Here is a 17,784-nt window from a genome sequence, read left to right on the forward strand (position 1 = left end):
CAAAGCAGACATTCCAAACCTGGAGTGTGCCCCTGCGGTCTCCAGGTCATCTGGATTCAAGCAATGGCTCTTAACTCTTATCCTTATCAGCATCGACTGAAGAGCTTGTTAAATGCAGGTTACCAGGGCCCACCCATAAAGATACTGATTCGGTGGTTCTAGGGTGGGCCTCAGGAATCTACATTCTTAACAGACATCTCAGATTATTTTGATAGAGTTGAAAAGATCCTCGTACTTTTGGAAAACACAGGATTCCAGGCATGGCAGGTCACTAAGTGTGCTTTGTGATAGATTTGGATAGTGATGTCTTTGAATGTATACCCTGGGTCAGCAAAAACGCATGGCCCTTCTAGGAGGAGATAAGTTAAGATGCCTACAGCCTTGGCCAGACCCCTGTTTTCCAGGATGTCTTGTCCTAAATAATTGCCTTGCTATAACAGGCCTGTGTGGATTTATGGTCTCACATTTAATTTCAGCCGCTATTCATTAATCCTGATGATCTCACTTAAATTATTAAACAGTCATATATTCCAATTTTGAGGGCACTAATTATATCCTTGAGAGGCTGTTATTATGTGGATGATCAGATACACTCAGCCAACACTAAACTGTTTTCTCCTCACTCATCAGAATTTTATACTTTTTCAGGATTTTTTCAGTTGCCACGTGTGTTTTATGTGACAAGATCTCAGAGCTGAGGAGTTATGAAATATGAGAGCAGAGGTTCTCAAATTTTGGTGTGCATAAGAATCACCTGGGAAGAATGTTTAACATGCAGATTCCCCGGGCCCTGTGAGTGTCCAGGTCCTCAGTCTCGGTGGAGTCCAGGAATCTGTGTTGTAACCAGCTTTCTGAGGATTGTGATGCAGCCAGTTCTGGGACCCTGAGCTGAGAAACTCTGCCTTCAGATGTTACTGCTGGTAGAAGCTCTCAAGAGATATTTGATGAGAACAAATACTGAGTGATGAGAACAGTCCCCTCATTTTTCAGTAGGGAAACTGACACCCAGAGAGGGGAAAGCTCTCCTTCAAAGCCCCACGGCAGAGACACAGCTGACATCTCTGGCCCATTGTAAGGATCAAATGAGATAATAGATGGGAAAGCACTTTGGAAAGTATTCAGCACTCTATAAATACAAGGAGGCACTATTATTTTCAAGTTGGGCCGGCCTTGTGACAGAAATGGCTTAGTACTTTCTCTCTAAATTACCATAATCACCTGTTTGAGGCCTCAACCAAGCCCATAACTCTAAATTCACTAGGCATGGAATAAATTCCTCCTGAAATGTCCAATAAAAAATATTTTATAGAAGAATGTGCTTGAGGCCCTGCCTGGTCCTCGGTCAGAAATTTCCTTTTTTCTGTTGCCTCATCCCATCAATTCTGGGGGGTAGATTACATCTCCTCCAACCTCAGGGTACCTGGTTAAAAAGCCCTACTTTCCAGCATGTGGCCCTTCTTGGGACATATAAAACTCACCCATGAACATTTTTGCCCTCAAAATCCTTCCTCAATATGAGCCCACTTCTAACATCTTTGTGGCTTTGGACATAGGAAAGCTGATATCAGGGCACCCCAGGTCTTAGTTCCTTTAGTTCAGAATACTCACTGGCTCGGGTTTGCTGCCAGTGTCCTTTGAGGCCAGGTCGCTGATCCTGATGGCTGCCTCTGTGCTCCTGTGTGTGTTTGTCCTGCTGTGTCATGATTAACTGGATAGCTAATTCATATTCATATTACATTAGAATCACGCTCCTTGAAGGGTTCATCAGTGGGATGTGCATCTATGCTCATCTTCCCATGGCTCCCTCCAGGTTTTAGAAGACCCTGTTTGTATCCCAGTCCATAAGTTCCTTCCACTACAAAATAAATTTCTTTCTTTCTTTCTTTCTTTTTTTTTTTTTTTTGAGACAGAGTCTCACTCTGTCTGTCGCCCAGGCTGAAGTACAGTGGCATGATCTCGGCTCACTGCAGCCTCCACCTCCTGGGTTCAAGTGATTCTCCTGCCTCAGCCTCCTGAGTAGCTGGGATTACAGGCGCGCACCACCATGCCCGGCTAATTTTTGCATTTTTAATAGAAACAGGGTTTCACTATGTTGGCCAGGATGGTCTCGATCTCCTGACCTTGTGATCCGCCCACCTTGGCCTCCCAAAGTGCTAGGATTACAGGCATGAGCCACTGCGCCTGGCCAATACATTTCTAAAAAAGGTGGTGGTAGACTGAGTTCAAGAACAGATATTCCGCTTCTATTCACATTTCAACCTTTATTTTTAAATATTTCTTCTACACTCCTACGGATCCTATCTCTTGGCGAGCCCTCCACATGCAAAAGCTCAAGTTCAGGTATTTGCAAGTTACCCACACACAAAGTCTATTTTTAAATCTAGAAGAAATCAAGGCTTTCCACTGATATTAGAAAGCCGAGTTTTCCCAGGCAGCATGACTTCAGAGTTCAGGGAATTTCTGCACTGTTTTCAGGAATCTTCACCCAACCTGTACATTTTAGAGATGAGAATATACATTTAGGGACTTCCTAAAGTCATATGGCTGGGTAATGACAAGTCGTGCTCCACCTTCAGGGAGCACCTATTGCTGGCCAGGCATAGCCCTGACAAGCTGCCAGTCCCCTCCAAAAATCAGGCCCACAGTCATAGCCCCCGAGTCCAGGCTGTCTGTCCCCAGTGGGCATGCTGCAGCAGCAGAACTGTCCACGTGCTCAGAAGGCAAATCTGCCAGCAGCAGGTATGGACACTGTAGTTGGGTCCTTTTTTGTTCCTTGGCTGACTTAATATAATGAGCCAAAGATGCATCAAAACTCATCCTCCCCCCACCCCCACATATGATTGAGGGATAATTGACAAGTAAAAATTGTGTATATTTAAGGTGTACAATGTGATGATCTGATATATATATACATTGTGAAGTCATACCACAATCAAGCTAATTAATGTGTTCATCACCTCCCATAGCTACCTTTTTTGTAGTGAGAATATTTAAGATCTATTCTTTTAGCAAACTTCAAGTACATAATACAGCATTATTAACTATATTCACCATGCTGCACATTAGGTCTCCAGAACTTACTCATCTTTGAACTGAAAGTTTGTACCCTTTGACCCACATCTCCCTATTTCCCCCACCCGGAGCCCCTGGAAATCACCATTCTGCTCTGTAACTATGAGTTCAACTTTTTTTAGATTCCTCATATGAGTGAGATCATGCGGTATTTATCTTGTGTGTCTGGCCTATTTCACTTAGCATAATGTCCTCCAAGTTCATCCAGGTTGTTACAAGCAGCAAATTTCCACCTTTTTTTTTTTTTTTTTTTTTTTTAAGAAAGAGTTTCACTCTGTTGCCCAGGCTGGAGTGCAGTGCCCCAGTCATGGCTCACTGCAACCTTGACTTCTCTGGGCTCCAGCAATCCTCCCACCTCAGCCTCCTGAGTAGCTGGGACTACAGGCCTGCACCACTACACCCGGCGAATTTTTTTTTTTTTTGTATTTTTTGTAGAGCCAGGGTTTCACCATGTTGCCCAGGCTAGTCTTGAACTCTGGGGCTCAAGTGATCCACCCACCTCAGCCACCCAAAGTGCCTGGGACTACAGTTGTGCACCACCACACCCGCCTAATTTTTTTTTTTTTTTTTTTTTTTGTATTTTTTGAAGAGCCAGGGTTTCACCATGTTGCCTAGGCTGGTCTTGAACTCCTGGGCTCAAGTGATCCACCCACCTTAGCCACCCAAAGTGCCTGGGATTACAGGCATGAGCCACCATGCCTGGCTATTTCCTTCTTTTTTAAGGCTGAATAATATTCGTGTGTGCGTGTGTGTGTGTGTGTGTGTGTGAGATAGATACACACACACCACATTTTCTTTATTCATCTGTTGGTGGACACTTAGGTTGTTTCCATATCTTGGCTATTGGGAGTAGTACTGCAATGAACATGGCAGTACAGATATCTCTTAAGGATAGTGATTTTATTCTCTTTGGATATATATCCAGAAATGAGATTGCTGGATCATATGGTAGTTCTGTTTTTAACGTTTTGAGGAACCTCCATACTGTTTTCCATAATGGCTGTATGGAAAATATGAGCCAAAGCTCATTCTCTAATAACATTTCTTGACTAGTGCATTCAAGTATCTGCCCTGTCTTAACATTTTAGCTAATTGCTAACACAGCACATGCAGTACATACTTTCAGCAGGACTGAACATTTTTAGTCATCTAACAAAGACATTTCATCTCATGACAAGTTTTTTGGACATACCTCAATGTGCTGTGTCTGTAGCTAACTTAATTACAGGAGCCGCCTTGGCAGTACCAGGAACCAAATGTTATGACCAGCAACTCTCCTATAGGTAGTACTGCTTTTATAACAGTGTAAATCACAGTTGTGCCAATTTTTTTTTTAAAGAAGCTAAATGGAAGATTTAAACCTTAAGTTGTTTGGGCTTTGAATCCTTGTGTTCTTAGAACACAAGCTTTAGTCAGACAGCAGACTTTGAGCTAGTACTTAACCTCTCTGTGCCTGATTGAGTAAAACTGGGCTACTTTCTCAGAGTTTTATAGATTAATTGAGATATTTTGTGTAGAGAGCTTAGAACAGTGGCTGGCTCAGAGCATCTATCAACCTTGATACCATCATATTCCTTGCTAGGAAATTCTGTGTTTATTCATCCCTTCTTTTTCTTTCATCCTCCTTTCTAGTTCCACATTGAAGATCCCAAACTTAAACCATCATTAATAATAATATATGAGAACAGTAATAAATGTCACCATTTATTAACACCTAATGTGTGCCAAGATCTGTTCATTTATGATCTCACCGAGTCCTGTGAGGTTGGCATTGTTGTCTGGCATTGTCTGATATACAACAGTGCCAACCTCACAGGACTCAGTGAGGTGAAACTGAGGATTAGGAAGGTGTAAACTGGACAAGCGCATGGCAGAGTCAGAATCCAAACTCAAATTTATTTGGATCAAGAGTGATACACTATTATGCACTACTTCCTGTTACCTCCTATGTGGTGATAGGAATAACTTATAAGGATTTTTTTTTTTTTAGACAGGATCTTGCTCTGTCATTCAGGTTGAAGTGCAATGATGCAACCATAGCCCACTGCAGCCTCAAACTCCTGGGCTCAAGCAGTCATCCTACCTCGCCTCCCAAGTAACTGGGACTATAGGCATGCACCACCACACCCAGCTAATTTTTAATTTTTAGTAGAGACAAGGTCTCGCTGTGTTGCCCAGGCTGGTCTCAAATTCCTGAGCCCAAGTGATCCTCCCGCCTCTGCCTCCCAAGGTGCTGGGATTACAGGCGTGAGCCACCACCACACCCAGTCTACTTCTAAGGATTTAATGCCTTATGTTTTCTTCATTTATTTCTCATAGAACCATTCACTCTTAGCACTTTGACTTTGAAAATCAGGGACCAGGTTGAGCCAGACAAAATATTCACCTATAAGGAGAAGGAATGAAAAACCAGACATTTTTCTACTTGGCTATCAATCCCCAAGTTTGATTTGCTGAGAATTTTTTCCCCTCTAAAATAGAGTCTGATTTTCTTTCCCTTCAACCTTCATGTCACTGGAAAATTTTAAATTTAAATAGATCCTAAGGGGGTGGCTCAAGGCTCTCATTGAAGGTTTATTATCTGCTGGAAGGCTGTAATGTAATTGCAAGGTATCATTTAAAGAGCTGTCTGTCTGTGTGAACCACCTTGTTCTGAATACCTGTTCCTGCATAGAGCCAGAAGATGTACATTTATTTATCAGTGGTGGTTCATAGCTGCCTTAGATCAATCGTATTATTCTTCCTCCACGGCTCAAGCCCCAAAATAAATGGCTTGTGATGTACAGAGCGTTGAAATCATTTGTATATCATCAGTCATTTGTTTCTCTTCTGTCATTTGCATTTTGATGGACAGCCATATGTTTGGGGGATTTCATTTTTATTACAGCCTTTGGTCACATTGTCCATTTGTAATACCATCTTAGATATTAATTACCCCAATTAGAGAAGGCCCTTTCAAATATTACATCACCTCCAAGTCGCGCTATTCATACCATAAAGCTATAAATGCCAACTATTGTTTTATTCTTCCTTTTTGACACCTGCTTCTCTATGGAGAGGTATTCTTTCCCAGAGTTTGTCATCAGTGATAAGAGAAAATATCTTTGTGTAGAGGGGTAGGGAATTATTGTTTTTCCTCCATAAATACCTCATCAATTCAGTGGCATTGTGGAGTAGAACATCCATTAGTGACTTTTCTAGGTGTTGGTATGAGAACAAGTAGACAAGCTTTGGTTCCAGCCCTACCAGTAAATAAATAGCTTTGTGATCTTGAGCAAATTACATCACTTCTTTGTGCTTCAGTGTCTGCATCTACAAAGTATGGATGACTTCTAAGATCTTGTCAAGCTTTAAATCCTAGGACCCTATGATGACTTTCTTCACCTCTTCCCTAGAGTTTAAGAGTTATAAATTGATAACTTTTCAATGTCTTAATATCAGTTATATCTTTTTCTAAATCTTCTCCCTTACTGCAAACTCTTAGATGATGTTTACTTCTTGTCACCTCCAGTGTGTCTGTCCCTAGAAGGCTTGTACGCTTTCTAATTTGCCATTTCAATTCAGCTGGAATAAGAAACCCAGTTATTAGTTTTTCAAGTATTATCTAAAGTACGGGTTAAATAGATCCTAAGGGGGTGGCTCAAGGCTCTCACTTGAGGTTAGACTTTATGAGCCATGTTTAAGTGGCCACAGAGACAGCGAACCCTTTATTTATATTATTTTAAATAAAAATAATCAGGAAAGGCTTCCTAGATAGGTGTCATTGCCTAGTAAAGGAGGTTCCTTGGGCTAAGGGAACAGCATAAGCAAAAGCACTGAGGCAGGATGGTCTCTCAGCAGTCCTGAGCAGTGATTGTCAGGAGGCTGTACCTCCTGAGTTACTGTACCTCTGTCCTCCCTGCTGAGCCTGGAGATCATTTCCTGATCCCCAAGGAGACCCATAATCTGACAAAGATTCCAGGTAGAAAAAGTAGTCTGGGAGTTGTAATTTAAATTCTGAAATATCAGAATTTCCAGACATTTAAAAAATTTCTCCGGGCAAGGTGGTGTGTGCCTGTAGTCCTAGCTACTCCGGAGGCTGAGGCAGGAGAATAGCTTGAGCCCAGGAGTTTGGGGCTTTAGTGCACTATGCTGATCGGGTATCTGCACTAAGTTTGGCATCAATAAGGTGACCTCCTAGGAGCAGGGGACCACCAAGTTGCCTAAAGAGGAGGGAACCAGCCTGATTGGAAACAAAGCAGGTCAAAACTCCTGTGCTGATCAGTAGTGGGATTGTGCTTATGAATAGCCACTGCACTCCAGCCTAGGCAACATAGCAAGACCCCATCTCTGAAAAAAAAAAATTTTTTTTAGCTTTCAGTATGTTAGTGTTTATGAGTCAGTGGGAACAGACTATTTGAAATTAGAGCTGAGACCAGTAATGCAGGATGTCTGGTCACCGTGGTTATCAGTTATAGAAGAACCATAAGCCCTGGTCCCTCCTGAATTCCAGGAGCTGTGTTGTCTGTTACAGTAGCCACTAGCCACACATGGCTATTCACATTTAAATTAAAATTCAATAAAATTAAAACGTTAGTTCCTCAGTCACACAAGCCACATTTCACATGCTCAATAGCCGTATGTAACTGAGACAGCACAGATACAGATCATCACAGAAAATTCTGTCGGACAGCCCTACTCTAGAGACAAGTGTGGAACACATGACACAGCCGTGAACATTTAGTCCCTGGCTGCTCTGCCTATGCAGTAGCCATTTTTTTGTTTCTTTACTTCTCTAATAAAGTTGCTTTCCTTTAAAAAAAAAAAAATGTAGTCCCCATAGAACTGGAGACACTGAGAATGGGGTAGGGGCCAGTGGTTGTTCTATAATGTCAGGACTTGCTCTGTTCTTCAGCATGGCTGGGGCATGGTGCAGGATCCTGGGTCCGCAGTCCACAGCTCAAACATCCATTGCAACCAGTGCAGGAAAATAAACTCACTCCTACTCTGCTAGTGGGAGTATAAATTGACAGGCCAAATTGGCAGTTTGTATCAAAACACCTTAAATATGAGCATATCCTTTGATCTAGCAATTCCATCTCTAGAGATTTTTCTAAGGAGACAATCAAAGATAGTTAAATAGATGTATGTGCAGGGTTATTCACCATAATGCTGCTTATCATACAAAAACCAATGGAAGTAGCCAGTAGCATGCTGGTAAAAGTTAACAACAAGCTGGAGTAAAGGGGAGGAGCCCTGATTTGTTGCATTTGCTGATTTCTGTGGCGTAAAAACTCCCACCTTGGCTGATTTCAAGCTACCAATGGAACAGAGCTGGGAAGAGATGTTCACAGTTGCTTCTTGTGAGCCTGTGCAAGCTCGCTCCCGCACACCGCTAGCAAATAGTCTAAGTGTCTGAAAAAAGGAGACCAAGTAAGTAAATCGTGGTAGAAAATTCCATGAAGCCATTAAAAATATGCTGTAAGCCGGTGGTTCTTAAACTTGAGGGTACACCAGAATCACCAGGAGGGCTCGTTAAAACCTGGTTTGCTGGGTCCCCCCACTTGTAGTTTCTGATTCAGCAGGTCAAGTCTGGCTGAGAACTTGCATTTCTAACAAGTTCCCAGGAAATGCTGTGAGAACTACTGTTGTAGAAGAAACTTTGATGACATGATAATTACCAAAAATATCCCATTTTGTGAGTATGTATGTATGTATGAAAATAATAGCTACACTGATTGAATTTGTATAATGTGACAAGTGCTATGCCAATCAATTGATGTGCATTACCTTGTTTATTCCTCATTACTGTGAAGAAAATAATGTTATTGTTATCCCCATTTTGCATACAAAGAAACTGAGATTTAGAGAAGTGAGGAATCTTCTCCCACACATCTAGTGGGATGTGAGACAGGATTTGAACTTGGCAGCTGACCTGAGGGCCTGCCCTCAAACCACTCTAGTGTGCAGCCTTGTGTCCACTCATCTGGAGCTCACCTGGGGCTCACCTAAGGCAGTGCCACACTGAAACACAACCAAATACCCATGGTTATTTCTAGGTGATAGAATCACAGAAGATTTCTGTGTTTTACTGCTTGCTTTTATGTGTTTTCCAAATTTTCTACAATGCAATATTTTTATAATCAGAAAAAATATCCAACATAGTAAACATGATAAATTGGAAAGGCCATTGTGACTTTGGTTCACTGTGCACACACCTTGTTCCTGGCTCCTTTGGTTTGAGTGGCTTCCGCTCGTCTGTAACCCACAGTCCAGATTGACTTTGCTCAGCCACTAGCATCCGTTCACTTTAGACTTTATGAAGTTTTCACTTTGGGTACCTTACCTGATCCCCACAGCAATCCTATGGGTTTGGCCATCTGACTGCTTCCACTTTATAAATGAGGCAACTGAGACTTTAATAAAGGAAAATGACTTGCCTGAGGTTACACACCTAAGTAGAGTTATTTCCCTTCAGTTATGACTCATTTATTTTCTGGTTCCTGCTCCTAGTTCACAGTGTAATTCAATGGCTACCATTTATTGAACACTTACTGTGTGCCAGGTATTTTACTTACTGCATTTTAACTTTGCAACAACCCCAACAGGAAGACATTATCATCACCTTTTTAGAGGTGAAAATGAGAATCAGAAAGGCTGTGTGCCGTGTACAGGGATGCACAGCCAGTTGATGATTCCAAAGCCCATTGATTCACTTAGGGAATATTTATGAAATACCCACTCTGTATCTGTTTACCAGATACCTGAGTTTCTAGCATTGGCCATTCCTGGCCTGACTCTGCACCCAGCACCCTGACCTGGGCCTCAGGGACTGTTCCCAGGCAGGGCTCACAAGGGAAGGCTCCCTCAGCCACCCCCGGCTCCAGCTACTCTTCCACACCCCAAACTCAACACGGCCCACTGGTGGGAATAACTGAGTGCTGACAGCCCCTCTGCAAGTGGACATAAAGTTCACCTGTTTAATTTGGGTTTCCACCTGGGGATCCTGGCCCTAGATAAAGTGCTTACTATGTCCCAGGTGTAGTTCTAAGTGAGTTACCCTCACATCTCAGTAATTCTTCACAGCAGCCTTGTAAGGGAGGTATAATATTATCCCCATTTTGCCCATGAAAACCCTGCAGCTGGGAGAGGTTAAGTAATTGGCCCAAGATCGCACAGCTAGTAAACGGAAGCTGGGAGCTTCCCTGGGCTGGGTGGGCCCCAGGTACCTACCACTGCTTTCTACCATCTTGCCCCCAGAGGTCTTGCCTGTCATTCAGGAAGAGAGGAATTGGCCTTGGACCTGTCCCTGTCCTGTGCCATTTTTGAAAATTTTGTCAGCTGCATGTTTGTTCATGCAGAGGCCCATTTAGTAGTGTGTGATGCTACAGAGCCCTTTAAATTGTGTTAATTGAGCAAAGCCTTTTGGTTTAAGAAACCTTGACCACCCCGCGGTCTTGCATCGGGACATGGCTATGGCAGGGAAGAAATTTTCACAGGGCGCCCAACTCAGGTGGACAAAGATGCAAACTTTTTACATAGAATGCAATTTCCTTCTGTCTCAAGCTCTGTGTCATCCGAAGGTGAACTTGGATCCAGGAATCCTCACCAGCTCTGACCTCTTCTCCCCTCCTCTCTGATAACTGCCCACTCCCCAAGTCCAGAAGAGTTTGCAGTCCAGGGCACGGATGAGGCCTCGGAGGGCTGGTTACTTACTCAGCAGATGTTCCTCCACACGGATTGCTGTGTCAGGACCTTGGTTTTTGCTGAAAACTTTTGTTTGTTTTGTTTTCTGATGTTGATTATGGCTTTCATCTCTGAGGGCAGTGGAGTTCAAGGTGAATTCTGTTTATGTTTTGGGTTGTGGTGGAGCTAGTGAAGCCGCAATTATGAGCGAAAACAGATTGCAATGACACCACCCCCCGCAAAACGACCTTCTAAATATCATCCTACCATACTCAATTTAATCATTACCAACCCCTGGCTAAGCTTCTCACAGGGGAAACACTTTCCACGCCACCCAGAGGAGTGGAGCAAAGCTGCAAAAAGGACTTTCGTCCTCAGCACCCCACCTTCCAAGGGGAGCACAGCTCCTTGGAGTCACTGTGGCCAGTGGGAAGGAATGAGCAACGTCCCTCAGGCGCATTGGGTGGAAGGGAGGGCTAGACCACTGAGCTGGGCTGTCTGTGTCTTTCTCTGCCGAGCCCTTGCCACAAACCAGGCCTTGGGCTAGACTTTAGGGATACCCTGATGAACAAGAAGACATGGGCCCTGCCCTGAGGGCCTGAGATTCTATGGCAAAATGAAGTCTATGCTGTGAGAGAATAGGCAACAGGCAGTGGAAGTTCGGAGAAGAGTGATTCATTCCCTCTCACTTTTCCTCCTGGCAAATCCTGTTCATCCTTCTGGACCAAACTCAAGAGTCCCCTCCTCTGTGATGCCTTCCCCATCTCTTGTCCTCAGACAGCCTTACCTCCCTCTTCCCCCTTCCTGACTCCCAGCTCTTATGTGGCACCTGCCCTTGTACTTCCATGCTGACCCTCCCATAGACCATGTCTTAGTTACTTCTGTGTCCCAGTACTCGCCACAATGCCAGATGCATAGCGACATCATTAAGTGTTGAATTAATGAATAGGTATGAGAGCACCTTTGAGTACTTGAATCGCAACCCACCAGTACTCTGTATTCTAACCTACCATTCCCTAGCATTGTGAGATACTGTGGGCTGGGACGTGCTATAAGGGTGTCACAAGTAATTTTGTGACCGTTCCAAAAGCATCAGTGTTTGTGAATGACTTACTTTTATCTTACAAATTAGATCAAATGTATGGTTATTCTTTGTCATACTTAAGCCTGTGTCCTCTAGAAAACAGAGACTAAGGCAGGATTAAGTCACTGACAGTTTATTTGGGGAAGGGGAGTGTGAGCCTGAGACAGCGATGGTGAGGATAAAAGGGAAAGTGATTCAGGAAACTTCAAGGGGTGATGACTGCAGCTTTCTCTTCACAGTAGTGCCAACACCCAGCAGGTATGCTCTTGCAGCATGGGGGCACTGCTTCAGTAGCTCACCAGGGGGAACAGCATCTCAGAGGAGTCCGTAGACAGAGAGAAAAGGAAGTTTTTCTACCTGATTGTCTCTCATCTCCTGCTTCCCATTGGTCATAGTCCCAACTGACTTCCCAGTTGTGTCATCCAGTTCTGTGGTGGCTACTCAGAAAGCCCCATCCCATGCCCCAGTGTAGTGTGATGTTTCATCTGAGTCTCCCTGTGACCTGATTCAGGTGAGATGCTGGGGCATTCGGGTGGGGGGGTATCGTTGGGGAGAGGAGACAGTTAAGGACATTACAGAAGGCACACATCTTTGTGTCTAGTACGTCTTTATATCATGACACTCACACATCTGCTGTACCCTGTGCTTTACTGGGTGGGAGAAAAAGAGATGCCATTGTAGCTCTTATAGCCCCAGGCATGGAAACTGTACGTGACCCTGGGTATATCCGTGTGATCCTGTCACTCCGTGAACATCATCAGTCATATGTGTTTTCATCTCAGCTCCAAGTCCATGTGATAAATTGGATATTGCTTTTGCTTATCTAATTCTCATTGCCCCAGCCAGACTGTCAAGTCGTTGTGGTACTGTTTGTGCATCGTACTGAATTATGACATCCACATGATAGATGTAGAATGCCCCTTTGAAATGTATCGCACACACTCTGTCTGTCTTGCACGCTGTAGAGCTGGGGTGGGACAGATGAGGGGTGGATGCTGCTGCAGGACAGGGCTCAGTATCTGCCCTCCCAAGGTCAGGCCTGACATTGCTAGGAGACAGAGGCACGGGGCCCCACCTTCCTGTCCAACCTCCCTTCCTGCTCCTCCCCCCTCACCCTCTCTCATCATCACACATGCTTTCATGACCCAATGCATATCTGTTTATCTGCCTCCTGACAGTCCCACTAGTCCTAGAGGCCCAGGGCAATCAGGCCCTCTGCCTTCTGAGAAGGCTTCTCTGATACTCTGGCCCAGCCCTCTCTTCCCTGGAGGTCCTGGAGCTTGAATGGTTGGCCTCTCGTTATTTGCTCCCCCTCCCATTCCGGGCCTGGCCCTGCCTCTCAAGCTCAGGAGGGAGCCAAGGAAGGGCCAGGGCCAGGTCCAGCGGGAGTAGGCATGCCTTAGAGCTCACTGGTGATGTCAGCACTCGCCAAAAAATGACATGTTTGAGGCAGCAGCTGCCATTGCATGTCAAAGAAAGAAGTGATTTTTTTGGTATCCTATTTATGGAGAATCTCTGACACCAGTATTACTTCTCTCCCGATTAGTAAATTTGTTTGCTCCCATTTTGCAGTTGAGATATCTGACATGCTGGGGCTAAGTGACAAAACACATCAGCCTGCCTCCAGGCACCATCCATCATTTGCACTCTCACTACATCCAGTGAACACATTTTAGAGATGAGGACATTGACGCTCAGGAAGGATACATGAGTAGGCTAAGGTCACATGGCAAGTTTGAGGTAAGGCTCACCTTACCTGGAAGCTAGGTCTACACCAAGGCACCTACCTTCCACTCTGTACCTCCCAGCCCCTCCCTCTTCCAGGTCATAGACCGAGTACCTGGCTGCCACTGTCAGACATTTGGCTCCATGACAGAGAGAGCCTTCATTTCCTGAAAGCCTCTGTTTTGGTATTTAGAATGGGAATGAATTCTCAAATTGAATTCATTTCATCTTCAGTGGAATCAGAAAGGTGTCTCCAGCTAAAAAGATTATGTCTGCAATTACAGATCTGCCGACTGCATCAACTCCCTCTCCCTTTGTGTGCTAGAGACCCTTCAGCATACGCAGCTCTGGGATGATGCCAGGATTCCATTTGGAGACTTCTGCACCCGTTGCTTTTGTGTCTTCCCATCTGCATGTGAGAGGAAATACATAGGGAACTCTTAAAAGTTGATGCTTATTTTGGGGAAAGCAAGGAGACAGTGAAGCAGGGTACTGTGAGGGCTGGGGGTTGGGTATGAGAAAGGCTCTGGGAGAGGGATCTGAGGTGTGGCAGGGCTGGGGGAGGGAGCCTCAAGTCTCAGGCCTGTCTGCCACAAACTTGCTGGTGGCCCAGGAAGCCCTGCCCTCTCTGATTCATAATTTCACCATCTGTGATATGAAGAGAATGGCTTACATTTGTGCTTTTCAAGCTTTTTTCCTTTTTTCAATAGTAAAAACGTTTTTCAAAATAAATCTTACCCAGGAGCCTCATGTAGAAAAAATTGTAAAGGATGCCTACTCCCCCTGAAGGTGGGAGAAGGGAGACCCTGGGAGAACCTGGGCTGCACTCCAGGGCTCCAGGGTGTACAGGGTGCAAACCAGTGACCTGTGCACTTTCTAAGGTCCCTCATTAGGGAGGAAGGGCCAGCAGAGCTGGGCCCAGATAAAGAGGGCTACAGAGGCCAAACCAACAAGGACCTTGGGTTTTGAGGGACCCGTTATCATGCCTTAGACCAGTGCTTCTCAAATGAGGGTTCACTGCACCCAAGAGGTAGACAGGAATTTTACCTTTTTATTTTGATTTTTAGTGTCTTAAAAGATTCTTTTACCAACTATGATACTCCTCTTTGTAGTGAAAATTCACAATTAAAAGACAGAAACTTTGGTTTCTTTGATTAGTATTTCTTAGATACATTCCCGGGTATGTTTATAGAAGAGGCCACAGATTTTTTTTGCTTTTAAAGGGGACTGCTTATTACTTACATTTGGGAAACATTGGCTCAGCCCATCCCAGAAAAACTGCCAAGTGAGCAAATTTTGGTAGTAAGGAGGGTTTGGTGTAAGGGAACTACCGGGAAACAACAGCCTGCAAAGATGATTGCAAGGCAGGGGTTAAGTGCAGGAAAGCCAAGGCTACAGATGGGGATGTATATCTGGGCCCATTCCTATGAAATATGGAAACCAAGCAACACGTCTCTAACTATAGGTATGTATGTGGATTTTTTAATGCTTGGAAGTATATATATATCAAAATGTTAATAGTGGTCTGGGTGGTAGAATTACAGGTGGTTTTTATTGTCTTCTTTTTTCCAATCCATTAAATGCCTTTGGTCTTAGAGAACTCCATTTGGTGAATTACTCCTCCTTTGCTCTAGGTCATAAACTTCTGGCTTTGAAGAGTTTATGTTCCTTTCAAGGTGCTGGAAACAGCCCCATCAACCTCCTTATTTGGCCTTCAAAATAATTTTTTAAAATCTGATTGAATTGCCAATATTGAGAACTCCCATAAAAATCTGCTTCTCCAGTTCTCCTGATATCATCTCTGAGACCTCATTCCCACGAGGCCACAGGTGGGTTTGCAGGCTTCCCTATGGCCCATTTCCCACATATGCCTTAGCTGCCTGGCGCTGGAAGTGTGTGAGCCCCTCTTCTGCTCTCAGGACTCCCAACCCTCCAACCTGGGGGCCCGTTAAGCATCCCACAGGGGCCGCTCCCTGTGTGAGCTGAGATGGACATTTGACTTACCCAAGGCTCAGCGTGCTCCACAATTTCTTCATGGGAAGGGTTTAGGGATGACAACTGCGTGGAAGAGAGGGCTTTGCAGAGTACTTTACATAAAATGAATAGGGAAAGAAAACCCCAGAATGGTCAGGCAGGACCTCTTCTGACTACATCCTCATTAATTGCTGAATATTACACAAAAAACATCAGTGAGGTATTGGTACCTCTACCCGGCAGTTCACATTTCTGAAAAGGCCAAGTGGAAAACACTCTTTACCATTTTTCTCCCTAAATAAAGCCCATGGAACACTGGGAGGGAATTGTGTGTAGCACAATTGGAGGCCTCGTCTGATCTTGATAAGGGGAAGGAATGGGATTTGAAATGTTCTGCATGGGGGGACGTGTCTCTAGTAAATGCAAATTGGGAAAGTGGGGTCTCCTTGGGGGCTCCAAGGCTGGTGCCATTTCTCCTGGCTTAGAGTAACAACAACAATAATAACAATCACCACCAACAAGTGTAAATGTTGGTCTGTCTCAGTTACTGGGCCTGCTGAGCATTCTGTTATCACCTTATATCATCCTAACACCCAGTGAAAAACACTTCTATTATTATTCCCACTTTGCAGATAAGGAAACTGAAGCTTAGAGAAATTTAAGTAACTTAGCAGAGCTTGCTGGTCTGTTGGAAAAGTAGACATTCCACTTAAGTCTGGCTGCTCTTAGAGCCTCTCTCCCACACATAGAGCCTCTCTCCCACACACTGTGCTACCTCCCACTCCTCCTGTGTGCCCTCTTCCACTTTCACCACTGCCAGTAATGACGGTGCTCCCACTCTCTGCATCTTTAAGCCACCTTCAGTACAAACATCCTGCCTGGCAAGCAGGAGAGGGATTACTGCCCCATTCAACAGACACGACGCTGAGGGCCAGGGCAGGAAAGTGACCTTTGTGGGGTCGCATGGCTAGTCCTCATCCTAACTGCTCAGAGCATTCTCAGGACACTCTCCCCACTGATCATGGCCAGGGCTTCCCAAACAGTCACGGTCCTTCAGAACTTGTTTTCACAAACCCCTGCCTCATTGAATATGCCTTCGTCAGAGTGTTGTATTATTTTTTCCCCTGTTTTCTGCCTGTGTGTGTATGAGCCTTTGCCACAAGAGCCTTATTAATCATTCGGTGTTGAAGGTTACCAAGAAAAATATGCCAGAGTGTGACAGGCCATTAGTATTTGTGTTGTAAGGAAACCAGTAATCATCTTAATTGGTGCACATTTTGGAGCGGAGTGGGGCTTTCTCCTGAAGGGCTGTCTCCTCCTTCATGTACCATTAACGCCATGGTAAACGCACCCTCCTAACCACAGCCATCCGCAGAGGCAGCTTTTTGCTAGAGCCTCATTTTGCCCCTGAAATCTTGGGCTGTGTGAGTTAAACAAGCCCTCTCCACTCAGACCAGCTGGGCAGGAGTGTTTGACCCTAGAGAGATTTATGAGGTCGGTGGAGCAGTCCTGCCTCTGGCCCCAGGGAATTCATGCTCAGCCCGATTTTGATGGTGACCAGACGTGCCTCCTAAAACACAAGGTGGCCCTGGAGGCCTGGGGAGGAGAGTGCAGTCTACCCACTTGGCCCCTTCTTCCCGGCCCTGAGTCAGTGACCTTCACCTAAATCCTAAAAGGACTCTGTTTCTTTCTTTAAAAAAAAAAAAAAAAGAGAGAGAGAGAAAAGAAAAAACACTTCCTTTTTAAAAACTTGTAAATCCTATATCCTTTCCCCATCACCCTACCAGAGATTCTTGGGGGGCCAGGGTATGGCTTCCTCTTTGACAAGGGCCATCCTTTTGTGTGTCACCACAAGCCAAGATTTTGACCAGCTCTAAAAGTAGAGCTGGAGGCCTGTCTAGTTTGTGTTATGAAAACAGTAGTTATTTTTCTAAGTATTTTATTATATCAAGTATGCCATTTAAAATACAGCTTCACTTCTCACTCTACCCCATCTTCCCTCCCAAGATTCTTCTCACCATTCTAAATAGGAACTGCTTGGTGGTGGGACTAAAATTGGGAAAGCCACTTCAGAGGGCAATTTGGAAGTATCAAAAAAATTTTAATGTGCATATTCTATAATCCAGGAATCCTACTTCTCAGTGTCTATCCTGGAGAATTCTTCACTATTTACACCATGAGCATACGTAAAGATGCTCACTGCAGCACTGTTTGTAATAGTACCAAATTAGAAGAAACCTCAGTATTCATCAGTAGGCTAAGGG

At 44.4% G+C, this 17,784-nt stretch overlaps 1 protein-coding gene, 1 non-coding gene and 1 pseudogene across 2 annotated transcripts in view; all 3 read left to right on the forward strand.

Moving 5' to 3' along the window:
- The window catches only part of GALNT10 (polypeptide N-acetylgalactosaminyltransferase 10), a 230,252-nt gene that overhangs the window by 151,590 nt on the left and 60,878 nt on the right, over nt 1-17,784 (forward strand). The window lies entirely within an intron of this gene.
- MIR1294 (microRNA 1294) lies at nt 4,784-4,925 on the forward strand. Its single transcript, NR_031626.1, has one exon. It is a non-coding gene; the product is annotated as a microRNA 1294 (primary transcript).
- On the forward strand, nt 7,106-7,403 carry RN7SL655P (RNA, 7SL, cytoplasmic 655, pseudogene; annotated as a pseudogene).

Source organism: Homo sapiens, chromosome 5, assembly GCF_000001405.40.
Source record: "Homo sapiens chromosome 5, GRCh38.p14 Primary Assembly".
Classification (NCBI taxonomy): Eukaryota; Metazoa; Chordata; class Mammalia; order Primates; family Hominidae; genus Homo; species Homo sapiens.